Raw genomic sequence first — 27,305 nt, 5'->3', positions numbered from 1 at the left:
GCAACAGCCCAGGATAAAGATGACAGAAGTGTAGACAGGTTAGGTAACACCCCACTAGTAAGTCAGGGAGCTGGAATTTTACCTGGGACTTTCTCACTCTGAAACTCCTGGTTGTTTCCTACTTTCCTACTGTGCTACCTGCCTTTGCATTATTAATATTTTTCAGATCTCCACATTGCCCAGAGATCTCTAACTCTTACAATTTAGGGGATCATGTCTCACCTTCCACAGTATCTCACAAGTTCAGGGATGACAGACATTCCTTGGCCCATCTGAAATAATAGAGACCAGAAATAAACATGCACTTTCCAGAATGAAGTTTATTATTATTATTAAGATGGAATCTTGCTCTGTCGCTCAGGCTGAGTGCAGCAGTGCGATCTTGGCTCACTGAAACCTCCGCCTCCCAGGTTCAAGTGATTCTCATGCATCAGCCTCCAGCGTAGCTGGGATTACTGGTGTGCACGACCACGCCCAGCTAATTTATTTTATTTTTTTAGTAGAGATGGGGTTTCACCATGTTGGCCAGGCTGGTCTCGAACTCCTGATCTCAGGTGATCCACCCACCTCGGCCTCCCAAAGTGCTGGGATTACAGGTATGAGCCACTGCACCCGGCCAAAGTTTATTAATACCATGTTGCAAAAAGGGCAAGTGCCCCCAGAAAGCCATAGAGGGCCTTATCAAACAAAGCAAGCAGGAGGTTATTCTAGGATTTGGGGAAACGATGGGATTTAGCTAAAATTCAAATGAAGCAGTGTTTTGATGAGCGCAAAGCAGGGCTGTGTGTAATTAACATCAGGCTGAGCTGGGGAGCTGACTCAGGGCTCCGTTTCCTTGGAAACTACAGGGTTAAGAGAAATGTAGAATATTGTGCTTCCAAACTCCTTATCTGAAGCACTGCACCTGCCTTGGAAATCTAGGCTGCTTCTCTGTGTCAAAGAGACCCCAGATATTTCAGGTAGGAATGGGATCTTCCATTCTTACTGATAGGATTTTGAAGAGGAAACTGTCAGGAGGTCTGTAATTTTTGAGAATACGGTTTCTCAATGCCATGTCTTCTTGTTCAACCACAAAGGCAGTTTGGTACAGGTTCACAGAATGCAGCTGCTCCTGGCCCTTGCTCCTGGGGCAGCTGTCTTCCTTCCCTGCCAAGGTTGCCAGGCAGTGACCCCTGTGTCTCCTCATCCCCATAAGAAGCACTAATGTTGGGCTGCTGCATTGTACCACTTGCTGGAGTATTTGCAGTCACGGCATGGAATTCGAGTACAGTGCTAACTATGGCATAAGGCTGGGATAGTAAGACGACTGTCTTTCAAAAGCATTCCCTGCATCATTCCCAATTGTTCATCGGCCATGGCTTACCTAGTGCAATTTTCTCAAGCTTCTCTCTCCTCCCTGTGACCTTCTCCCAGCTCTCCTCCTCTCCCCCATTTTGCAGCTTCTTAATTGTTTCTCTCCACAAAAGAATCTCAAATGTGCCCTACTTTTGTATGCAGAGCAGTTCTACTCCTTTCCTTTCTCTTTCTAAATTGGGACCTGGTGGCTGGTGTCCCTCTCACCTTCTGCGGGTAAAGTGGTGGCCAGGGACCTGGCTAGCCTTGGGTTCAAGGGCTTGTGGGAAGGGAGGAGATGGAGGCCGACGAGATGATAGAAGAGGCTCTTTGTGCTATGCTCAGGGCAAAGCCCACCTCCTCTGATAGCTGTGATGCCATTGGGATAGTTTTTGCAGGTGCAGAGCAGGCGGGGGACCTGTTTGTATTTAGATTATGGATGCTTTTCTTAGAGTTAAGATCACAAGGCATTGAAAAGATTAACTTGTGTTAGAATCGATGGGCCTAGAATGAATACACAGTGTCTTTTATTGTGAAGACACAGGAGGAAGGAAATGAAGAGGCTACTGGAGCAACAGTGTCACCTGTCACTGAACAGGGACCCAGAACCCCTCATGCTTGGACACATGCTTTAAGTAATGCTGTAACTATACCAGACCAATCTGGCTCGGCTTTTATGTAACAAAGTTGTCAGTTGTTTTTCAGTTGCCATGGGCTGCCCCCAGGTTGAAGGTCACATACCCTGTGCGTGTGCAGATGGACCAAGCATCCAACCACAGGCGGAACCTAAGTGTTTTGACAGATTAGCAGGACTGAATTAAGAAGCGGACACCACATGACAGGATCCAAGATCCAATCAGATTGAGCCCTTGTGTCACTCCATGGCAAGATCCAATCAGATCATGCCTTCCCAGCATCATGTCATTGCAAGACCCAATCAGATCTTGCCTTATTACCCTATGCTTATAAAACCCCACAGCCCCAAGCTCAAGGAGACAGATTTGAGCATTTCCTTTGGTCTCCTTTCTAGTTAACTTCCAATAAAGCTTTTCTTTTCTCAAAAGCTGGTGCCGTGGTACTAGCTTTTATGCACATCAGGAAATGAGCCCTTCGATTGCTTGGTAAGAGTGCAAGAAGTCAAACCTGGCTGTGGGTCTACCTCATCTACACAAGGGAACAAATAATGAGCTCATGTCACAGAGCTCTTATTTATTGAACAAAATTTTTATTGATTGCCTACTTGTGCCGGACACTGTGCAAGGCTATGGGCAGAAAATGAATAAAATATTAATGTTACTGGAAAGGGGTCCTAATCCAGACCCCAGGAGAGGGTTCCAGGATCTGGTGCAAGAAAGAATTTGGAATGAGTCCATAAAGTAAAGTGAAAACAAGTTAATGAAGAAAGTAAAGAATTAGAAATGGCTATTCCACAGGCAGAGCAGCAGCTTGGGCTGCTGGACTAAGGATACTTATAGTTATTTCTTGATGTTATGCTAAACAGGGGGTGGATTATTCATGCGTTTTCCAGAAATCATGGGCAATTTCTAGAGCTGAGGTTTCCTCCCCTTTTTAGACTATATAGGGGAACTTCCTCACTGTTGCCGTGGCATCTGTAAACTGTCACGGAGTTGGTGGGAGTGTCTTTTACTATGCTAATGCATTATAATTAGCATATAATAAGCAGTGAGGATGACCAGGTCACTCTTGTTGCCATCTTGGTTTTGGTGGGATTGGTTAACTTCTTTACTGCAAGGTTTTTAGGACCTGTGTCTTGTGCCGACCTCCTATCTCATTCTGTGACTTAGAATGCCTAATGCCTGGGAATGCAGACCAGCAGGTCTCAGCCTTACCTTACCCAGCCCCTATTCAAGATAAAGTTGCTCTGGTTAAAAGGCCTCTGACATTGACATGCCCTAAAAGAGCATAGCCTAGTGGGAGAGACAGACAAGAAAATAAACAATTTAAATAAAATGCACAATTAAAGCAAAGTAAAAAAAAAAAAAAAGAAACTTTAATAGCATTTTGTCCAGGACAACTGTACATCAGAGAAGGAATGTAACTTATTCCGGACTAAAAATTCAGTGCAGCCAGGAGAAGAAGTTTGGATTGAGACATTACAGATAAACAGGAAGCGAGGGGGAAGAGGTTCAGAATATTCCAGTGGTCCTGGTAGCAGGCATGGCTGGGGTGGAGAATGCACATGAGAAAATGGCTGGAAACGAGCTGGAGAAACAAGCAGGGGCAGCCGGTGAAAGAGCATGTTTGCAGACTGAGGAGCCTGCAATTGTGGGGAGTCATCAAACTTCTAGAGCTGCTTTTTTTGAAGACAGGTGTATTAGGATTCTCTAGAGGGACAGGACTAATAGTATAAATGCATATATGAAAGGGAGTTTATTAAGGAGTATTGACTCACGTGATCACAAGGTGAAGTCCCACAATAGACCATCTGCAAGCTGAGGAGCAAGGAAGCCAGTCCGAGTCCCAAAACCTCAAAAGTAGGGAAGCCGACAGTGCAGCCTTCAGTCTGTGGCCGAAGGCCCGAGAGCCCCTGGCAAACCACTGGTGTAAGCCCAAGAGTCCAAAAGCTGAAGAACTTGGAGTCCAATGTTTGAGGGCAGGAAGCATCCAGCACAGGAGAAAGATGAAGACTGGAAGACTCAGCCAGTCTAGTGCTTCCACGTTCCTCTGTCCGCTTTTATCCTAGCTGTGCTGGCAGCTGATTCGATGGTGCCCTCCCGGATTGAAGGTGGATCTGCCTCTCCCAGTCCGCTGACTCAAATGTTAATCTCCTTTGGCAACACCCTCTCAGACACACCCAGGAACAATACTTTGTATCCTTCAATCCAATCAAGATGACACTCAAATTAACCATCACAATAGGGATGTCTCTGGTTCCCCCACCCCCACCCTTTTGTTTTTTTTTTGAGACGGAGTTTCGCTCTTGTTGCCCAGGCTGGAGTGCAATGGCACGATCTCGGCTTACCACAACCTCTGCCTCCCGGGTTCAAGCGATTCTCCTCTCTCAGCCTCCTGAGTAGCAGGGATTACAGGGATGTGCCACCACACCCGGCTAATTTTGTATTTTTAGTAGAGATGGGGCTTCTCCATGTTGGTCAGACTGGTCTCGAACTCCCGACCTCATGTGATCCACCCGCCTCGGCCTCCCAAAGTGCTGGGATTACAAGCATGAGCCACCACGGCCACTCTGGTTCCCCTTTTTATATCCACCAGACCTTGCTCAATAAGCATTAAAGTGAACTAAGATGATTGAAGTGATCCCATTTGTCCTATAGGAAGATCATTCTAGATGTATGTAGATGAGGTACCAGCGGCAGGAAGACCAGTTAGGAGGCAATTTCAAAAGTCCAGTTTCAGGCTCGTGGCAGAATTGGAGAGGAAGAGGGAAATGAAATCCTAAGAAAGCACATGCAAATAGCCAACAATGTAACTGCCCAGTGGGTTCAGAGCTGGTTCATCAAGACAGGGGATCTGCAATAGAGAAAGAGGAATTCATGCAGAGCCGGCTGTGAAGGACTGACTGGAGTTTTATTATTACTCAAATCAGTTTCCTTGAACATCCAGGGAACAGAGTTTTTAAGGATAACTTGGTGGATGGGGGGAAACAAGTGAGCCAGGAGGAGTGCCGACTGCTCAGAGATGAAATCATACGGAGTTGGAGCTGTCTTCTTATGCTGAATCAGTTCCTGGGTGGGGACCACAAGATCAGATGAGACAGTTTATTGATCTGGGTGGTGCCAGCTGATCTATCAAGTGCAGGGTATCTAGAGCACTGATCTTAGGAGCAGTTTAGGGAGGGTCAGAATCTTGTAGCCTCCAGCTGCATGACTCCTAAACCATAATTTCTCATCTTTTGGCTAATGTTGGTCCTACAAAGGCAATCTAGTCCCCAGGCAAGAAAGAGGTCGGCTTTGGGAAAGGGATGTTATCATCTTTGTTTTAAACTATAAAGTTTCTCCCAAAGTTAGTTCAGCCTACACCCAGGAATGAACAAGGACAGCTTGGAGGTTAGAAGCAAGATGGAGTCGTTTGTTAGATATCTTTCACTGTCTCAGTCATAATTTTGGAAAGACAGTTTCAAGAATAGCCTTGAAATACTTGGGAAATACTTGGTGGGACAGCCAGGGCCTCACTGATGGGGACGGAGACCGATCCCTGGACTTAACCTGGAGATAGTTGGTGACGTTGACCTTGGGAATGTGGAAGGTTAGATATAGACATTCCTTGTTTTAAGAATGCAGGAAATGGCTCAATCTAGAACTTTTATTACTTTTCAAATTAATGATGGCACTCCAATCTCCCTGGGCCACTGAGAAGATTAATGGAAATGATGCAATAGCAATGACTGCAGTAAAAGCCAAGACTGGATAGTTGTCTTTATCATCAGGAAGTGGATAGGAGCTTTTATGGTCAATTTCCTTTCTTGAAACAAGCTTAAGAGCAGACAGTGAAATCTGACTTCAGAGGGGGTTCCCGGAGAACTGCTGCCACGTTCATCTAAATGACACTTCAGATCTGATTATTAATTTGGGTCAAACTATGGAAAGCTTGTATGGAAGCTCTGGTGTTCCAGGCTTCAGGAACTTTGATTTAGAGTACCATCAGGGCTCATAGAGTCTTTTCTTTTCTTTTTTCTTTTCATTTTCCTTTCTTTTCCTTTCTTTCTCTTTTCTCTTCTGCCTTCTCCTTTCCCTTTCCTTCCCTTCCCTTCCCTTCCCTTCCCTTCCCTTCCCTTCCCTTCCCTTCCCTTCCCTTCCCTTCCCTTCTCTTCCTGCCATGGAGTCTCACTCTGTTGCCCAGGCTGGAGTGCCATGGTGCAGTCTTGGCTCATTGCAACCACCTCCTCCTGGTTCAAGTGAGTCTCCTGCCTCAGCTTCCTGAGTAGCTGGGATTACAGGTGCTTAACGCCACACCTAGCTAATTTTCTTGTATTTTTAGTAGAGATGGGGTTTTACCATGTTGGCCAGGCTGGCCTCCAACTCCTGACCTCAGGTGATCCACCCGCCTCGGCCCCCCACAATGTGGGGATTTCAGGCGTGAGCCACCACACCCTGCCTTAGAGTCATCTTTTAATTGCCTCTTTCCAAGTTCCTACATTACCTGAGAGATAGGCTGCTTTGTCTTGATGAGACGTGCGTTTCGAAAGACATCAGACTGCCTCTAGCATAACACTGGTATTACTAGCCAAGAATATGGGCACTGGGAGAGTGGCATGACCTCCCTAGACCTCACAACTACCGTGGGAGGAAGCCATGAGGACTGAGGACCTGCTTGTTGTCCCGGCTTCTTGTGCTCCACCTGCAGACACTGAACTGCTATTGGAACTTCCTTTACCAACACCACCGTGGGGCTTCACTGTAGTGCTCATGGCCATTGTCATCTTCTTATGGTCTTCCTTTTACTACAACAACATGTCCTGCAGAGAAATTATACCTAAGACTAGAGAGACGGTATAAGCATGATAAAATAAAAAGATCAACCATTAGGTCACTAGAGAAGTTAAATAATTTGAAAGTGACTGTCGAGGCCAGGGCTGCATGTCTCACACCAGTAATCCCAGAAATTTGGAAGGCTGAGGCTGGTGGATTGCTTGAGCCCAGGAGTTCGAGATCAGCCTGGGCAACATGGTGAAACCCTATTGCTACAAAAAAAAAAAAAAATTACAAAAATTAGATGGGTGTGGTGGAATGTGCTTGTAGCCCCAGCTACTTGGGAGGCTGAGGTGGGAGGATCATGTGAACCGTGGGAGGTCAAGGCTGCAGTGAGCTGAGGTTGCGCCACTGCACTCCAGCCTGGGTGACAGAGTGAGACCCAGTTTAAAAAAAAAAATTATTGTCATTTGGCCTTGATGTCAAATACAAACTAACCAGGAAATCATGGCTTTGGTGGAAGAGGAACAATGGCATGCTATTTATTTGCTCACCTGTTGAGCTGCAGTGGCCAGGTGCTCTGATCACACCCAGCAAATGAGTTTACCTCTAGGTGTGCGATGCAGCCCCATGACTTCTATACTGGCATGCAACAGAGCCTGTGAGAGCTCTTTCACACTGTTACTGCTAGAGGCTGGGGCAGATGATGGAGGTGGGCCCCTGGACACTCAGGAAAGCTCTCTGCTCAAAATGATCTCCCCCACCCACCCTGACCTAAAATATCCACGATAGAGCTCCTTCTGTTCATGTTAGACACTGTCTTTTCTCATTTAAAATGCAACAATGAAAGACACCCTCGATGGTAGCAGGGACGGACAGGGGTGGGGCAGTGATAGCACCTTCTTGTGCGTGGGTTTCTACACAACGACAGCTTCTTCTGTGACGACTGAGATGAGGTTGCTTGCAGGAAATACCTTCCTCATTTCTGTGTTCATTCATTCAGCAGATATTCAGGAGCCTACTGTGTGCCCTGGCGCTGCTTTAGATGTGTGGGATATGGTGGTAATCAAAACAGATACGTCTGTGCCCCCACAGAGCTCCCAGTCTAGTGTGGGGAGGGGATGATGGAGACATAAATATATAAAATGAACAGTTTACGTAGACTGTGCTGAGAATTTTGGAGAAAAAGCAGAGGGAGGTAAAGTTTCCAATGAGATGGGGATTAGTGGTGCCTTTTTTAAGAAGGATGGTCGGGAAAGAGCCACTGTCTGAACAGGATGCACAGACTGGCTTTTGTGTGGTGGAGGAGGTTTGAGCTGCTAATTTAGGAGCTGCTCAGACAGGTGGCAGAGACACTGAGCTCATGAAAGGAATCTGTTGGGGGCACAGAAGGATCCTGGTGCCCTAGTCCATGGCCTTGCCCCAGCACATTTGCTGAGGTCCGGAAAGGCAGCTTCTGTCTGTCACTGTTCCAGCCCATGGACAGGAAAGTGCAGATGGCCAGGGAGAAACGAAGACCTGAAAGAGGAGAGCTGTGTGATTAGGAGGCTGGGAGTTGTCCCAGGCCGGGGCACAGGGAGCACAAAAACCCTGAAGGTGGGTCTCTGATGGCAATGGAGGAGCAGCGAAGGGCTGGTGTGGTAGGGGTGCAGGGCCCAGGGAGAGTGGCAGCAGAGGAGGCCAGAGGGCCCAGGGAGGTCAGATCACGCTCTGAATGGAACAGGAACTGTTACAGGCTTTGAGCAGAGAATCCACATAGATTAAACTGAGACTGTTTATCACTGTAGCCACTGGGTTTAGGATGGCGTGGGAAGGGCACGGGAAAATGGTGGGGCCAGCGGGGAGCCTGTGGCCATAATTCAGGTGACAATGACCGTGGGGATGCAGCAAAGGGAAACATGCAAAGAAGGATTTGGACTCAAGGACCCGGAAGCCAAGAAGTGCTGCCATCTTCATAACTTTGTCTATTCCCAGTTTTGCCCCAAATCGTTCTGCCTCCTTAAGACGCATCTGACTCCAGAACCACCTGCAAGTCCACGGGAAGGGTCACCCACTACTCACCCTGCTGTACCAGGCCCTGGGTCATGGGCCAGACTACCTCACCATCCTGTGTGCACTCCTGCAGCAGCCGTGACTTGCAGGGACCTCACTGCCTCATGCAGAGGGACAATGGTGCTTCGGGCTTGTTTGCAGCGGGTTGGAGGCATTGACTCTCCTAAGCTCTTTCTAGTCCTTCACAGCTCTACTTTCTGTGTGACTATGGCTAAGCTGCTAAATATATAAGCACTGGCTTTTGTGGAATGGAGGATGTTTCAGCTGCTAGTTTTGGTGCCTGTTCAGACAGGTGGCAGAAGCTCTGAGCTCACAAATGGCATCTGTTGGGCACAGAAGGGTCCTAGTGCCCTGGTCTGTGGCCTCAGCCCAGCACATTTGCTGAGATCCAGAGAGGCAGCTTCTGTCTGTCCCCTCTCCCTACCCGTGGACAGGAAACCACAGATGGCCCAGCAATTTGATACGTTGCAGTGTTTCCAAAGCTCCCAGAGTGGGACGTGAAGCTGAATTGCACGCTTCCAGGAAAGTGCCCCCAATGTGGAAAACCTGTCATTTTGTCTCTAGATCCATTACAAGCTTTGTAGTGGCACAAACCCCGGGCAGAAATGGCCTTTTTATAAATGCCATGGAAATCACTGGGTTGAGATGCCCTATGTTTGTAGAAAGGAGCAAAGTCAGAGTGATTTCTCACACCTGGTACCCACCCTAAATCTACTGTGGATGTGAGAAAATATCCCAGTGACAATGAGGTAATTTTCCCTATCTTCATGGTCTATTTCCTTAGAGAAAATTGTTTTTCCAATGCTCACCAAAGAACTTTCTTCAGATTTAGTACTTTTTTCTTTTTTTTCTTTTTTAAATTTAGGAATGCCATGCCACAATAGCTACCAAAATGACAAAGTTGTTTACACTTTCATGCAGAAATCCCACTTTTGGAGTTTATTTTATAGATTCACTTTCGTGCATATGAAATGTCATCTGCATCATTGTTGGTAATGACAAAGGACTAGTTAAGAAAAGCAGTGGCCGCATGTGCATAACGGCATACTACGCCCCTGGAAAAAGGAATTGGAACACTCTCTTTTTACTGACGTAGTAAGATTGCTAGGATATGTTCAGTGGAAAAAAAGCAAGAAGCAGAAATAGAGGAAAATATGCATATATTCATATTTGCTTGCATATGTATAAAGCAACACTGGAAGGTAGAAAAAAATAGTTCCTTTGGGAGACAACAGAAATGGAATGGATGAAAACATGGGTGCAAGACCCTCTGTGTATTCATTTATTAGAGTTTTGGTATTAGTCATGCAAATGTATTCTCCCAGCTTTTTTTTTTTTTTTTTTTTTTAATATGGAAAGACATACTCAACCATGTCTAGACCTCAGTGATCACAGATTGACTTCTGACAGTGGTGCAAAGAGTTTTGAGAATCAAGGAATTTTTGAGCACCTCCCTGTGTTAGGTAGGAGCTGAGAAGGGGCTGCAGAGGGAGAGATAGAGACCCAGGACCTACCCAAAGGTGCTTGCAGCCTGGTGGAGGAGACTGGTGAGCAAACTATTGGTATCTTAGTTCATTTTTTTTGCCGCTATAACAGAAAACCTGAGACTAGGTAATTTATAAAGAAAAAAAATCTACTTCTCACAGTTCTGGAGGCTGGGAAGTCCAAGATCAAGGCAACAGCATGTTTGGTGTCTGGTAAGGGTGCAGTCTCTGTTTTTAAGATGACATCTTGTTGCTGGATCCTTTGGAGGAGAGGAGCACTATGTCCTCACATGGTGGAAGGCAGAAGGACAAGAAGGATGTATTCCTTCTGTTTTCCCTGTAGTAGCCCTTTCTTCACAGCCTTTTGAGAGTATCAACTGATATAGTGCCTGGGAAGCAATTAGCACAGTGTCTGGTGCTCTGGTGCTTAGTAACTGTGCAATAAATATTGAGCTTTTTTTTTTTTTTAGTGGCATTAATCCATTCATGAAAGCAGATCCCTCATGACCTAAACACTTCCACAAAGGCCCCACTTTCCAACACTGTTGCATTGGAGATTAAATTCCCAACACAAGAATTTTGGGGGACTCATTCCAACCATAGCAGCTGGTGATGATGTATTGAGAGCCAAATAAGGGGGAAGCACAGAGGCTGTGGATCTCAGAGAAGAGACAGCTGCTGGGGAAAGGGGAGAAGAGGGTCATCAGAGCAATCCAAAGGAGAATGGGGCTTGACAAAGAGGTAGGAGGGAAGAAGTTGGAGAAGACAAAGGAGGCACAGAAGCTCAACCAGGCAGAGAGAAAAGGCCCAGAGTGTGGGTAGGGTCCAGTGTGCTTAGGTAAATGCAAGGAGTTAAACATGATTGAAATGGAGGGGATGGGTGTCGATGTGGGACCGGTGGATTGTCAAAGACAGAAGAGAAGTGACCCGACTATAAAGTCTTATTATTCTGTGACATGCTGCTCATTGTGCTACCAATATCCATTCTCTCTACTCAATCTCTCCTTTTTGCTCTGTATATGACCTCTAAGAATAAAAACCAGGTATCTCTGCCTCCCTTGCAAATGGGTATGGCCCATGTGATGAAATCCTGACCAATGGGCTGTAAATGGAAGTGATGTGTACAATTTTCAGGAAGCGTCCTTCACGGAGAGGGTGTGTCTGTCTCTTTCTTTCCCCTCTCCTGCTAGCAGGAATGCAGACATGATGGCTGGAGCTATAGAAGCTGTCTTGAACCAGATCAAAGACACTTGTAGAGGTGGGAAGAGCAATGAGACCTAAGTGCCTACATTTACATAAGAGAGAAATAAATTTCTTACCTACTTTAAGTCACTACGAGGGTTCTTTTGTTCTTGGCAGCTAAATTCAATACTAACTAGCCTGGATTTTAAATTCCCCCTATTTATTATCCTGGGTGGCTTAGGGTTATGTTTCTAGTATATCTAACTTTCCATTAACAGCTCTATCTCAAGCTAGGAATCTTGAGTTTGTCTATAAATATTTTTGGTCTGCACAATGTTTTCGAGTTAATATCTTGTTCTTTCTGTTTGTTACATATATTTTGAATCCCTGAAAAGTCATTTCCTTTGAGCTTGATATCATGGGTTTAAATTGAGACAGAATGGCAAAGTGGCTCAAAGCAAGGGCTCCAATGCTAAGTTGCCAGGATTAAATTCTGTCTCTTTCACTTACCAACTGTGTGACCTCAGATAAATTAGTTATTCCTGATAAGTCTCAATTTCCTCATCCTTAAAATGGAAAAAACTAATAGCCCTTTCTTCACAGCCTTGTTGAGAGTATCGACTGAGATAGTGCATGGAAAGCAATTAGCACAGTGTCTGGTGCTCAGTAACTGTGCAATAAATATTAACTACTGTTCAATCTAGGGTCTATATGTGTCTTCCATTTTTGAGAATTTCTAAGCACATGCTAACATAGTCTTATCAACATCATAATAATCCCTGCCCAGAATCTTGTAAGTAAGTAATTCCTCTCTATTTATAGGTACAAACAAGTGAAATTGTAATTACCACAAAGCATAAATTTAACTAGAACCAGATCTACTGACATTCCCAGATTAAACATAAGACATGTGAAAAGATGGTGTTGGTTATTGCGAGATTTATAAAGGCAAGATCTTGGTGTTATTCCCTTTTCATGGTTTCATCTACCTGGTAACAGGCAGGCACTGGAATGTTTGGCCTTACCTCTTGTGTTCCTGTTACAATCTACTTCCTTCCTGTCTGACCCCACTGGATGACAAACATTAGTGGAGGGTTGGCAAGGTTCTTTCTCCACTGGCCTCCATCATCATTAGACACCAAGTTACCTCCACCCAAGATTGGTACAATAAATGTGGAAAATGGTCCCTTCAGTCATTTACTCTCTTCGGTTAAAAAAAAAAAAAATGAAATGAGGCCAGGTGCAGCAGCTCACACATGTAATCTCAGCACTTTGGGAGGCTGAGATGGGCAGACTGCTTGAGCCTAGGAGTTTGAGACCAGCCTGAGCAACATGGTGAAACCCCATCTCAACAACACAACAAAAAAAATTAGCCGGGCATGGTGGTGTGCACCTGTAGTCCCAGCTACTCAGGAGGCTGAGGGTGAGAGGATTGCCTGAGCCTGGGGAGGTTGAGGCTGCAGTGAGCTGTGAATTGTGCCACAGCACTCCAGCCTGGGTGACAGAGTGAGACCCTGTCTCAAAAAAAAAAAAAAAAAAAAAAAAGAAAAAGAAAAAGAAAAAGAATGAGGCGAGAATAAAATATTCAGTATGGAATTGTATGGCTGCTCCACATGGATGTGTCTCAGAGCTAACATGCAGGGCTCAAGAACGGCTCTAATAGAAGATACATGTTGGATATTGCATCAGTTACCCCTGAATTTGGCAAAACTATGTGATAAAGGTGTTGAGTTGTGGAGTGAGACTGTCTGGATTCAAATTTCTGGACTGCCACTTTGTTTCTGTGTGAATTTGGGCAAGAACCATATCTGCAAGTGTGAATACCAACCACGCCCTCACATAGGACATGAGACTGCAGGCGAGGTGTTGTACCTGAGGTATGCACCTGGCATAGTGCCCAGTACTATGTGATAAACATGTGATAATCCCAGTGCTTTGGCAGGCTTAGGTGCGTGGATCATGAGGTCAGGAGATCAAGACCAGCCTGGCCAACATGGTGAAACCCTGTCTCTACTAAAAATACAAAAATTAGCTGGGTGTGGTGGCACATGCCTGTAATCCCAGCTACTGGGGAGGCTGAGGCAGGAGAATCGCTTGAACCAGGGACTCAGAGGTTGCAGTGAGCCGAGATCATGCCACTGCACTCTAGCCTGGCAACAGAGCAAGACTCAGTCTCAAAAAAAAAAAAGTGATAAATGTGTGCTGGAGGGAATAAGTGGCATCCTTCAAGGACAACTAAGGCTTCTCCTCCATGAGGGCTTCTCTGGGTACTTAGCCCTCATTTGATTGTTAGCTTTAATCCATTTGTTTCTTCATATGCACACAGTCTTTCTGTCCAAGTAGATTATGGGTCCTATAGTTTCTTTCTTTCTTCTTTTATTAATCTCAAGACTCCCCTGCAAAGCCTACATCAGTTTGTTTTGCTATGTAACAAACCAGCTGAACACTTAGTCATTTTGTACATTGGCAATTTGGGCTGGGCATGGCTGGGCAATTCTGGTCTTGGCTGGGCTCTGCAGATCTCAGCTGGGCTGGCTCATGTGTCTATGGTCAGCTGGAGGCCAGATGGGGAGGGCTGGCTTGTCAGGGCCTTATCTTGGATGCTGGATGGCTGGAGGCCTTTTCCACAGGGCACTTTGTCCTCCAGCAGCCTGGCTGGGGCCAGCTGATGTGCTGGCTGCAGAGTCCAAGAGCACCAAGACAGGACAAGTTGTGAGTTGCAAGCGCTCTTCAAGTCCCCACTTCTATCACGTTTGTCCACTGTCCTATCAACCCAAGCAAGTCACAGGCTAAGCCCAGAGTCAGCATGGGAGGGAACACCTGCAGGCATGGATGCCAGGAGGTGGGAGCAAATTGGGGCCGTTCCTGTCATAGAGTGCCGTAGCACCCCATAGAGTTTTCGTGACTGCTTATCACTTTTAGTGTTTATAATCTGGCCCCCTTTTCAAGCTGAGGATCTGTCAGAAACCAGAGTTTCCACTTCATTATCTGAGGCCAAGGTCCCAGTCAACCCTCTTGAGCTCCACAAACTCCACACCAGCAGCCAGGTGTGAGGTGCTATGCCTTTGGTTGGCTCCATCTCAGAGAAGAAGGGGTGTCCCTTTCTTTATAGGACATCCAAGGATCTGTGGTTCAAAATTTTGGGATACCATTCCCGTCATTGTTTGTGTGAATGCAGTTCCTTAATTGTGCAGTGCACAACTTGTGCAACCGTAAGTGTCAGTGCTGAAGCCTCAAGCAGAGTCTCTTTCTGGTGGATGTGAAGAATTTCCAACCCTACTGAGGAGCAAGGTGACAATTTAGGCAAGAAAGAAGGGGAGAGTTTGCACAGCCCAAATTCTTATTTTTTTTTAGGAGGAGTTTGGTCTTTAGGCCTCGTCTTTATCACCTGTAAACTGAGCAGCTCACACCAGAAACTCTCAAGTAAGTTTTCTTCCAGTTCTAATCTTCTCAGTGGTTCATGAAACATGAAACACCAATGAATACCACTCTAGTTGAGAGAGAAAGGAATGGAAAGGGAGCTAGCATTTATCTAAGGCTGAATAGACACCAAGCACTTAGTACATATTAACTCCTTCCATGTTCACACCCAAAACTCAGTGAGGTGGGTATGATTAGCCCAGGTTTTGCAGAAGAGAAAACAAGTTCAGAGAGGTTAAGCAACTTGCCTGAGGTCACACAGATGGTAAATAATAGGGCTAGGAGTTGAACCCTGGGATTTCTGGAGCCAAAGCCTTTCCTCCCTGCTGTGTTACAGCAGAGGCCAAGTGAATAGCAAACAACTTGTCTATTCCACTCTCCCCAAGTATTATTTTGCCAGATGCAGGTTGCCCATGGGGAACAGCAGTTGTTGACATAGGTGGGAACGTGGGCCTCTGCAGGTGACAATGCGCCCTGGGACAGCTGATCAGCTAGGCCATGGGGCACATCATCGGCTGAACGTCGACTCTGGGGAAAATCAGCTGTTTACTGGAGATAATAAAACAGGAAATATTTCAGCATTTGGGTATATGAGTTTTGGCAGGGAAAGATTTGATGACTTAATGATGAGTGCTAGAGGCTAATTTGAAAACAGCAGATATCTCTATCTACATCTAAAATAGTAGGCTGAGCTATTCAAATGGAGTATGCCAACAAGCTTGGAGCCGGTATTATTTAAATTGGTTGGGATAGAGGATGTTCAGTGGCAGATGATGGCTTTTCTTTTTTCTTTTTTTTTTTTTTGAGATGGAGCCTTGCCCCGTTGCCCAGGCTGGAGTGCAGTGGTGGGATCTTGGCTCACTGCCACCTCTGCCTCCCCGTTTCAAGCAATTCTCCTGCCTCAGCCTCCTGAGTTGCCGGGATTTCAGGCGTACACCACCATGCCTGGCTAATTTATTAGTATTTTTAGTAGAGATGGGGTTTCACCATGTTTGCCAGGCTGGTCTTGAACTCCTGACCTCAAGTGATCTGCCCACCTTGGTCTCCCAAAGTGCTGGGATTACAGGCGTGAGCCACCGCGCCCGGCCAGATGATGGCTTTTATTTCTATTTAGGATTAATGATATGGTGCCAGGTCTGTTCGGTCCATAGTCTGGCTGTGTGAGTGGTACCTCCAGAAGCCTCCATTGACCAGAGGTGGCTGTCATCCTCTCTAGCAGGGTCTTCTGTCTTTAGAAAGTGTCAGAGGAGAAGCTGGGTTCATTGGCAGCTCTGTCTGACCTCCTCAGCTCTGAGTGCCATTTCCTAATCTGCCTCTGGAATCTCTACAGCCAACTCTCCACTTCCTGAGGTCGGGAGGAGAACTGGGCCAATCTGCAGAGAACTCAGCATTTCACCTGGTGCTGTGATGTGCCAGGCTGGGCTTGGTGCTGGGGGTATAAAGATACATTAAACACCCTCCTCATCTTGGCCCCTCTTACACAATGGTGTGTCAGAGGAAAGCGGACAGGCAAGTTCAGGGTGACAAGCGGTGATTGGATAGAGCCATGAGTGGAGAGGTATAGGTGGTGACGGTAGCGATTGTTGACAGCTATCCTGGCTGGGAACGTGGGCCTCTGCAGGTGACAGTGTGCCCCGGGACAGCTGATCAGCTAGGCCATGGGGCATACCACTGGCTGAACGTCGACTCTGGGGAAAATCAGCTGTTTACTGGAGTTAATGAAACAGGAAATATTTCAGCATTTAGATATATGAGTTTCGGCAGGGAAAGATTTGATGACTTAATGATGAGCCCTAGAGCACTAGGCGATGGCAGCCCAGACATATGTCAGCCTGTATGGTGTTCTGCGGAGGCTGTCATTCCCATGAGGAGACAGGTAGAGGCGACACTGGGGCAGCCCTGGCTGGCAGCGGGTGGTCATGTCCTCAGGAGCCGTGGGGGCACTGGTCATTTGCCTACCAGGGTGCCAGAATTGTCACCAGGGCAGTCCTCTTCCTTCCACTATCCAGCCCACTCCAGCTGAATAGACCTTGTGGGGAAAGGAAGCCCAGAGTGGTTAGGATGGGGGCACACGATGGGCCTGGGCAGCAGCTCTGTACCAGGGTGAAAGCATAGGTGTGCTGGCCTTTTGACTTTGACCACATTTGTTGCAGCTGTACCTCGTGTGCAGGCTCAACATTGCCAGGGAGCAGTGTCTGGCCCACCTGGGGCACTGGAAGAGGCTTCCTGGGAGACAGCTGACGGATGACAAAGAAGAGGCGAGTGTATTCCAGGAGGAGAGACTGCCGAGGCAGTGCCATGGAGTTGAGCAGGAACTACGATTAACAGGGGATGGGAGGGAGGCACTGAGGCTCAGAACGCAGCAGCAGCAGCCTTGGGTGCCACTGTGGGGAACACCGAAGACTGTTGATGTTGGCATGCTCTGTAAGTACTTTACATAGCCATCAATAATTACCCCTTCATGAGAACTTGCTATGTGCTATCTAGTGCACTGGATGCTTCACAGACCTACTGAATTTTGGAAATAACCTTATAGTTAGGAATTATTGTTCTCCATTTTACAAGGGAGAAAACCAAAGTACCAAGAAACCAACTTTCTCCAAGTTATGCAGGTGACAAATAGAACAACCAGAATGTTTACCCAGGTCTGTCTCGAAAACTCACACACCAAGCCAGTTTCCTGTAGTACCTAAGTAGAAAAGGGCTGAGACTAGAAACCTCTGCTTACAGTGTGAATGGTGAATTTAAAGGAGACAAGATTGGGTACTTTTGTGCCCTGAGCCTCATGCCTGGCATGTCGTAGGCCCTTGTTAGGTGTTCATACAACAAAGAGTGACTGGTTGGGGGCTGCAGTTAGAAGGCAATCACGATAGTTCATGTGAGTGGAGAAGTCCCAAACTGGAGGGTAGTTTCAGGCATCTGGACAGATTTGAACGATATTGAGGGGGTGACATTTCTCTGGCCTTGACACCTGAGAGGTTTATGAGGGACCTTGGCTATCACCAGGTGCCTGTGGGGCACCCAAGGGGAAATGTGTGTCACCTGTTGGCTACTCAAACCTCAAGTGCATGGAGAGGTTGAGGCTGCAGAGAGAGACTTGGAGTCATCAGATATAATGTGAAAGCCCTATGTGGGCTGGGCATAGTGGCTCATGCCTGTAATCCTAGCGCTTTTGGAGACAGAAGCAGGAAGATGATTTGCGCCCAGGAGTTTGAGATCAGCCTGGGAAGCATAGTGAGATCCTGTCTCTACAAAAAATAAAAACATTAGGCAGGCATGGTGGCATGTGCCACCTATAGTCCCAGCTACTTAGGAGGCTGAGATGTAAGGGTGAAGGCTGCAGTGAGCAGTGATTAAACCACTTGAGCCTGGGAGGTCAAGGCTGCAGTGAGCAGTGATTAAACCACTGCACTCCAGCCTGGGCAACAGAGTGAGACCCTGTCTCTTTGAAAAATTTAAAAATGACGCATGAATACTGCATGTAAGTGTCCATGAAGAGGACCCTGGAAAGAAAGATCAGAAAGGTGGGAGGGAAGCTACCAGGAGAGAGGGTGAGAATGTTTTAAGAGAACGTGAGTGGCCAACTGTGGCTGCTGCAGAGAGATGGGGGCTTCCAGTCTGTCATGATGTCAGAGTCTGAGATGCATGCTGTCTGCTGGGCCCCACCTTAGCTTCTGCAGCCCCAGCTGGGTTCTTGGTAGCCTCTTGAGTAGCTACTGGGTTTTGCAGGAAAAGCAAACATGTAGAAAGCATGCATATCTAATTTTTTGAAAGTATCTCAGTTGGAGCCTCCTCTGACTCATCTGCTACATTTGGATGTGGTATGAGTATGTCTAAGATCTTTTACAGTTTGAGCATCCTAAGATTTAGGTGGAATCACAGCTTTTGGGGGAGAGTGGATCTTAAAATGTAACATTGATGCATTTGTCATGTTCTCTTAGTTACATTTGAGAAGGTGCTAGCCATCTGCCCTTCTATGAGGGTGCTCTTGCAAAGATCATCCTTCCTTAGCCACATTGTCTTGTCCTCACACTTGCACCTTATGACAGCCAAGAGGAGACTGGAAACTGGTAGAAGGTCTTGTGGTTAAGACTTGGGTTCAAATCCTGGCTGTTGCTTTGTACCACTGTGACCCTGGACATGTTGTTTAACTTCTCTGTCTGAATTTCTTCATCTATAAAATAGGTATAATCATGATAGCTAGCATGATTATATGCAAAACACTTTACATGAATTCCCTGGTGAGTCTTTGCAATGATTTAGGAACTTTTATTATCCCTCCTTTAGAATATCAGCTCCCTCAGAACAAGGGCTGTCTGCTTTGCTCAGTGCTGTAGCCCATTTAGGCTGCTATAATAAAGTACTGTAGACTGGGTGGATTTATTTTTCATGGTTCTAGAGGCTGGAAGTCTAAGATCAGTGTGCCAGCATGGTTGGGTTCTGGGGAGGGCAGTTGATCGTCTTCTTGTATCTTCACTTGGTGGAAGGACAGCAAGAACGCTCTCTGGAGTCCATTTTTTTTTTAAGGGGCTAATCCCATTTGTGAGGGCTCTACCTTCACGACCTAAATACCTGTCAAAGGCCCACCTCCAAATACTATCACACTGGGGGTTGAAACCTCAACACAGGAATTTTGCAGAGACAGAAACACTCAATGGTGTATTTCCAGGACCTAGAACTATATGTGACCCACAATGGGTGCTCAATATACATTTTCTGATTGAAAGAATGCCTGGAGAAATTGAGGCAGAGAGGAAAAGGTACATAGCTAGTGTATGGTACATTTTGAGCCAGGGCAGTGAGATATTGGAGCCAGAAATCAACCACCGTACTTTAGTCATAACTACCACATCTATACTGGCTATTCTTAGGGGATCTGAAAGGCCAAAACTATTCTGGACAATCATACAAGGCATATTTTCCTTTGTCATTCTCATCATTCTCATTCTCCCACAAGTGTGTGGTGGCATTTTCCAGAGGCTACATGATGTGTGATAACTCAACTGATTGAATGTAGAAGCAGATATGAGAATGCCAGCTGTTTTCTTTTCAGCTAGACATTTAAGAGTTTTTTGCAAAAATGTAAAACCATGCCACCCTTTTCAGTGAAGTGTGCTTGGATTAAAAATTATAGTTATTTGGATAATGTCGGGTTTTGTTATTATGTTAAATTAATAAGTAACTATTTAAAAAATTATCAGTTTTAATTTCTGTGACGGCACATCTTCAGATTTTCATACTGAGATTAAAAAACGTTTGGGAATGTGGCTGTATACCCTGAGGTGTAAATGTGGCATGTTCGTAAAGTGCTCTGACATCATCTGGCATGGCAGCTCCCCAGCCGTGGTGGTGGTGATAGAAATATAAATGGTGACAGCAGCAGCAGTGTGACAGTCACTGTGGAGGGAGATTGCTTTTCTGCAGCCATCCTTCTGGCATCTCCCAAGCTGGGTGGGACCCAGCTGAAGATCAGCAGAGAAACCAGCCATTGCTGAGAGCAAGACAGTCAGTGGGCATTTATTGGAAGATGTCTAGGTTCTTAACATTTCACTGTTATTTGGGCTTATGGGAGCAGAAGAATGACAAAATAAAGAGAAGTCCTCATCTCTGACCATAAGAAGCTTGACACAATTCCAGTAAGTCTTGGAATGAAAGGAGAGACATGTTTTCCTGTGTTTATACTATGAGTGCATTTATATTCCCTTCACAACCAACATACCTTGACATTGAAGAGCCAAGATGTGGGTGGGAGGCAGATGCTATGGTTTGTATGGATTTCCCAAAGTTTATGTGTTGGAAGCTTAATCCCCAATGCAGTGGTGTTGAGAGCTGGGACTGTTAAGAGGTGATTAGCTCATGAGGGCTCTGCACATATGACAGATTAATGCCATTATCATGGTAGATCATGGGAATGAGTTCCTGATAAAAGGATGAGCTTGGTCCCCTTTTCCTCTCTCTAGTTGTCTATCTCTCTTTCTCTCTCCCACTGTTTTGTGTGTGCACACATTTTCTTGGGCATATGTGCCCTCTTGCCCTTCCACCTTCTGCGATGAGATGATGTAGCAAGAAGGTTCTCACCAGATGCCAGCCCATTGACCAGCCTCCAGAACTATAAGAAATAAATCTCTGTTCTCCATAAATTACCCCGTTTCAGGTATTCTGTAATAGCAGCACAAAATGGACTAAGACAGTGAATAAATAGGAGTCTGAAATAGTTTGACATTTTAGTGGAGAGTCTCAGTGTATTGTACCAAACGCAGGTGGTACAGAAAGTGAACTTCTTCAGAAAAAAAAGTAAGATACTGTTGACATCTGGCAGAGCTCAGGCTCTGCCAGCATTGATGAAACCCTGTGAGATCCAGATGGCTTCGAACCTGACTACAAGCAAGCTGGCTGGTGCAGTGGCCCACCTCTCCTGTAAAATAGGTCAGACTCTCCTTTCAGAATAAGCATGCTGTTTGAAAAGTAAAGTACAACTTAAATCCCAATGGGAAGCTCCGTGCCAACAGCATGGTTATGGTGAATCCCATTTTAAAACTTTTTTTTTTTTTTTTTTTTTTTTAAATCGTGTATTTCAGTTTGCAAGTCCGGTCCTGTCACTCACTGCCTTAGTCCACAGCAACTCTGTTGCAGAGACAAAGGAGTCATTAATTCATTGCACATAATTTCAGACAGTTGCTTTTTAAAACACCTGCTCTGAGCTGGAGGTGGATATAGCAAGTTGGAACATGTTGACTTATGTAGCTTCCAATAGCCCTTGGTAATGACCGCAATAAAGACAAATCCAATTAGTCTGGCCCAGAAGGGTGGCTCCTCTCGCGGATACAGATGATTTGAGTGGCAGCTTAGAGCATTTCTTTTGCAATTAGAATTTGAGGGCAAGCAAAGTTCTGCCAAAAAACCAGGCCAGTGACCCAAATGAGGTGGTCAGCCTTCCTGGGGGGCAGTCCAGCTTTCCTGTAGGCAACTCAGCCTCTGGAGGCCCCTGACGCTCTAGGGTGAATCACTTCTCCCCTATGGCTTTCAGTTCTGGTTTTCGGGCAGCCTAGAAGGGAAACAGGCAACAGAGGCTATATGGACTGTGGATCTCAAACCAGCGCTCCATACTTGGCCCCTTTGTGCAGAGCCCAGGCTGTGTGGTGTACATGGGATGGTGGCATATCGGAGATTTTGTTGCACACAAATAATAAAGTGCTAAAGAATCATTCAATGGGCAGTTATGCCAGTGAGCAGGAGGAGTTCATAAAGTGAGAGAGGGAATTATGCATTCCTGTGGGTCCAAAAGAAATTTTGGTCCTGGAGAAAATGAATGCAACCAATTGGCCTAATTCAGGGGCTGTTCTTCCTTCTACACTAGACCAGGGATCCTAAAAGACAGAGGCCAGGTCTTTGTCACACTTGTGTCCACAAGGGGTGCATAGTAAGTTCTCTGTGAGTATTTGTTTGCTGAACTCAATTGGACCTTAAAAAGTCTTTTATTTGAAAATTCAAACTTAAGGAATAGATTCAAGGAAAAGTAAAGGGAACATCTGTATATACTTGACTCAGATTCACTATTGTTTGTTGGCATTTTCTTTGCACATGCTTTTTTTTTTTTATCACTTTCTCTCTTTTTCTATATTCCTAATATTATTTTTTCCTGAATCATTTGGGAGTAGGTTGTATATAGCATGGTTGTTTATCCTCAAATGCTGCAGTGTGTATTTGCTAAGAATAAACAGATTCTCTTCAAAACGGTATAATTAACCTCAGTAATTTTAACATTAACCCAGTACTTTATCTGTTCTATCACTGGTATTTCAACAGTCTTAATTATCCCAAAATATTATTTATAACCTATGTTCTTCCTCCAGTATAGCAGCTGCTCTAGGATCAGGTATTGTCAAGTCTCCTTCCATCTAGTAACAGAACATTTCCATAGCCTTTCTTTGTCTTTTGTGACATCGATTTTTTTTTTTTTTGGTTGGGGAGGATGGAGTCTCTGTCGCCCGGGCTGGAGTGCAGTGGCACAATCTCGGCTCACTGCAACCTCCGCCTCCTGGGTTCAAGTGATTCTCCTGCCTCAGCCTCCCGAGTAGCTGGGACTACAGGCACATGCCACCACACCTGGCTAATTTATTGTATTTTTAGTAGAGATGGGGTTTCACTGTGTTAGCAAGGATGGTCTCGATCTCCTGACCTCGTAATCTGCCCACCTCGGCCTCCCAAAGTTCTGGGATTACAGGCATGAGCCACCGTGCCCAGCTGTTTTTGTTTGTTTGTTTGTTTTGTTTTTTTTTTTTTTTGAGATGAAGTCTCACTCTGTCACCCAGGCTGGAGTGCAGTGGCACAATCTTGGCTCACCACATCCTCTGCCTCCCGGGTTAAAGCAATTCTCCTGCTTCAGCTTCGAGAACAGCTGGGATTGCAGGCAAGCGCCACCACACCCAGCTAATTTATATATATATATTTTGAGACAGAGCCTTGCTCTGTTGCCCAGGCTGGAGTGCAGTGGCACAATCTCGGCTCACTGCAACCTCTGCCTCCCAGGTTCAAGCGATTCTTTTGTCCCAGTCTCCCAAGTAGCTGTGACTATAGGCGTGTGCCACCATGCCCAGCTAACTTTTTGTATTTTTAGTAGAGACAGGGTTTCACCATGTTAGCCAGGATGGTGTCGATCTCCTGACCTTGTGATCCACCCGCCTTAGCCTCCCAAAGTGCTGGGATTATAGGCATGAGCCACCGCGCCCGACCAAATACCTGTTTTTTTAAACTACCCAGTCTGTAGTACTTCATTATCGCAACCATGAGAAACCAATGCAAGGACTATATGATGTGGAGCTCTTGGTTCTTTTCTTGTCTCTTATTTCTCTTTAGGTCCTGTGCTGTAATTTCCATGTCATTTATTACAATGTGTGGTTTCATGACTCAGGAAAATGTCCTGAGAACTTGGCATGGGATTTGCTCCTCTACTCCTCCCAAGTATTTTTTTGTAAGCCACTTATATTCTGATGTCAAATCTCTTTCTGCTTAAACCAGTTAGAAAAGTTTGTTTTCTGCAACTGAGCCTGATACCCTACCCACCATGCCCCACCCTTACACGTATATGTAAATCCTGGGAGACTGGGAACATCGCTGCTTCTGCCACAGGCTAAACACAACCCAGGAAACTCCTGACTGCAGAGCCATCCTGCCTCTACCATGATCTGAGCCAGCACCGTGGTTGCTCCCCACCTCCCGTTTCTCCTTGTAACTAGCACTGCGTTTATGTCTGTCATGGATGCACTGAATTGGTTGAACCTATATCATATGCAGGACTCTAGATGCAGGAGAGTCTGAGGAATGTTTTTGACACTTGAGTCTCTGTAGTAGCGCAAGGCACTCAAAGAAACAGGATTGGATGTCAAGTCAGCTAGGCTTAGCATCTGCCAGAGGTGGGAGGACATTTCTCTCCTGCCCTGGCCTTTTTCTAGAGGAGAAAACCCTCCAGGTGAATTTAGACACCCTCATTTCTTTAGAGTTCTCCATAGTTTCTACTTTTGGCATATCATTAAGTTCTGCCTCTCTCTCTTTGTCTAGCAGTTTTGGAGTTTGAGATTTAACTCTTTCATGCTCTTTTCTTTGTGAAGGCTATGAAGGTTACATTAGAGCTCTGACTTAAAAGCCTGGGGCAATTTATAGCAGCTATTTTTCCAACCTGTAGGAGAAGCTACGAGACAGCAGTTGCATCTGTCTTCCCAGCATATTAGAGGCAAAAGGCGATTCTTTAAACCTCTAAGCACCACATCCCTCTGCTATGGCTTTTGTTCTCAAGGTTCTATTCCTGGGACAGGCTGCAGCTCTGTCTAACAATAACACTGCATGATATTCTGCGTCTGAATCTACCTCTGATTGGCTCCACCTTCTCTCTCCTGATGCTACTGACTGTTGCATACTTTGAAAGAGGGTCAACAACACATGCTGCTAATTGGCACTAGCACAGACTCTCACATATGTAATGTGTGTGGCCTAGCCACCCTCTTCCACTATTGCAACTGGGCACAAACCTTCAAAGGTGGCCCTGACACAGCCTTTGGCAGCCAGTGGGGTGGCAATGTGCTCTTGCAATGGCCCCGTGTTATGTGGTGCAGAAGAGCATGAAGGTGCAGTAGTGCCCAAACCCAGCAGCCATCTCGCCCTTTTTGGGGTGTCAGGTGAGCTGAGCTCACCCTGCATTTTCATTGCTTTGATGTAAGGAGCTGGGGAGTTTTAGGGACTCCTATGACTGTTGGCTCCAGGCTCTCCTGAAAACAAGCTGCACTGAAAGCTGCTCCCTGGCCTTCCTGAGCTCTTTGCTAAACACCGATTCACAGCTGCCCTGATCATATTTAATCTTGGGAAAAGGAGAGATGGGCACATACTTGGACAACGGGGTGTGATTGGTTGAGTCACATTGGTCATTGGTTTTCTGATTACTCGACCTGAATTTGCTTTTTACTGTATCACTTAGGGTCCTGGCAAGAGACAGATGGAATACTCCAATGGAGTCATTACAGAGTGTTAATCAAAATCAAAATCAAAATTTTAAGATGGCAAGGAAGATTTTATTCAAGTCAAAAGGGTCTACTACAGTGGAGTTTTGTAGTTGGTAGAAAATCAAACTCAACTCCAAATACAACAAGGGCAAGTGGATATTTCCAGCCAAGGAACAGGATGGGGTCAGTGGATGGAAAATTACTAAGAGAAAACATCAAGAATAGGGGATTCTTGCTAAATCCACTCAACAGGATTCTTGCTGAAGATGGGCCAGTGTGATTCAATATTGAGGGTGGGGGATGAGCAATTGATCAGATATCAACCATGGAGATTTTTGCTAAACAAATGCAGCAGGATTCTTGCTGAACCTGGACAAAACAGAAGGACAGAGTCCCAGTTCAGGGTCCCTGAGGGCTTAGAGGAGCCTGACTAGAGTTAGGTTAAAAAGATAGTCTTTTTTGACCAGTCCTCCTCCTCATTCAAGAAAAGACAGTCTTCTTTCCTTTGAACAATGTAAGTCAATTTTCTCATTCAACTGTGGTTCATTCATTATGGATCAGGCAGCCCATCTGTTGGGACTTGATAGTAGAGGATATTCGGTGAATAGTGTGAGCCGTCAGGCATTTTATGACAGGAATCTTGTACTTCAGTGGGCTGCCTTCGAGATTACTGGCTCAGCAGTCAGACTCACAAACAGATTTCCAATCAATTGACCAGGAGTGAACACAAAGGCTTCAAAGGTGCATATTTGGAGTTCTGAGAGAGGGGTCTGGGAATCCGGCGATGAATCTGATTCTGTCCAAATCGCAGGTGCCGTAACTGTTAAATAATAACTTTTCATGACACCTGTTCAATATGGAAAGGAAGACTATTCAAGGGAGGCTACTGCACTGGAGTTTTGTAGCAAGGGAGTATGACCAAGTTAAACTCCCAGAGGGACTTTTTGTAAAGTAGGGGGCTGGGGGGATGGTGGGGAGGTTAGGGATACCAACAAGAGGCAATGAAGTCCTCTTCAATAAGATGAAGCTGTTACCTCCCCTGAATAAGCCAACCCAGTCAGAAAACAGAGGGCCAGGGAACCTGTATGCACCCCACATAGGTCAGCCTCTGGGTATCAATGAAGGGTAGAAAGTGGATGTGAAGAAACAAACAGAAGATCACTAGCAGCTACAGTAGGAATGAATTTTCCCCACAAAGCCCAAGCACAAGCAATGCCTCATTGTTTTATGAAATCAGGTTAAAACTAGCTCAAGGTGCCATTATTATCATAAATCACAAATAGCTGTCCTCAGGAGGCTACCCTATTTGACAACGGGTTATGTAAAAATCCTGGGTCTTGTGTGAGTATGGGAAAAATTGGAAGAGGCTGTTCCTTTAGCTCACAGTGGTCACCATCTGTAGTGGACACCTGCATTTTTGCCAGCATGCTCCCTTCTTTTAGCCAGCAGCTCCTCATGTTCATCTGGGAAATGATTCCTCCCCAATTGTATATAGCTTAGTGGGATTGTCAATTAAGTGTCCTGCCCTACTGGGCCAATAGGTGGGTGACCAACCCAGCCAAGCCAATCACGCTCAGTTTTCTGGGAGTTTGAACTGGAGCTGTGTTCTTGACATCTGGACAGAAAACGGGTGGAACCCAATGCTTTGTCACAGTGGAGTCCCCAGGAGAGTGGAGATGGCTGGTTATCTAGATCTCCTGAACTGTTCTTATTATTTCTTTTCTGAGGCCTGGTTTCCAGTTTTCTCCTTGATTCTGTGAAATACTCCTTATTTATCCTCTTTTGGTGGCCAGCATTGTTTGCTTACAATCATAGCACCCTGACAGGTACACCAGTGTTGCCATGGCTGCATCTGGCACATGGAGCCCTTGCTGTCCTGATTTCTAGACAGCCACACTGGTTGCAGGAAGCTCCTCACTGAGATCTTGCCTGGACCAGGCAAGAGGGAACCCTTG

The 27,305-nt window shown here is 45.7% G+C and overlaps 2 annotated features.

Moving 5' to 3' along the window:
• Nucleotides 8,034–8,534: an enhancer, noted in NCBI's record as "H3K4me1 hESC enhancer chr10:14414401-14414901 (GRCh37/hg19 assembly coordinates)". NCBI's record gives its function as "activates a minimal SCP1, AML or CMV promoter by ChIP-STARR-seq in naive H9 embryonic stem cells {active_cell/tissue: H9 hESC(naive)}" and the evidence as "EXISTENCE:reporter gene assay evidence [ECO:0000049][PMID:30033119]".
• Nucleotides 16,355–16,854: an enhancer, noted in NCBI's record as "H3K4me1 hESC enhancer chr10:14406081-14406580 (GRCh37/hg19 assembly coordinates)". NCBI's record gives its function as "activates a minimal SCP1, AML or CMV promoter by ChIP-STARR-seq in naive H9 embryonic stem cells {active_cell/tissue: H9 hESC(naive)}" and the evidence as "EXISTENCE:reporter gene assay evidence [ECO:0000049][PMID:30033119]".

This window comes from Homo sapiens, chromosome 10 (assembly GCF_000001405.40).
Source record: "Homo sapiens chromosome 10, GRCh38.p14 Primary Assembly".
In the NCBI taxonomy this organism is placed as follows: Eukaryota; Metazoa; Chordata; class Mammalia; order Primates; family Hominidae; genus Homo; species Homo sapiens.
Note: the sequence above shows the minus strand (reverse complement) of the source record. Positions and strands in the feature narration are given on the sequence as shown.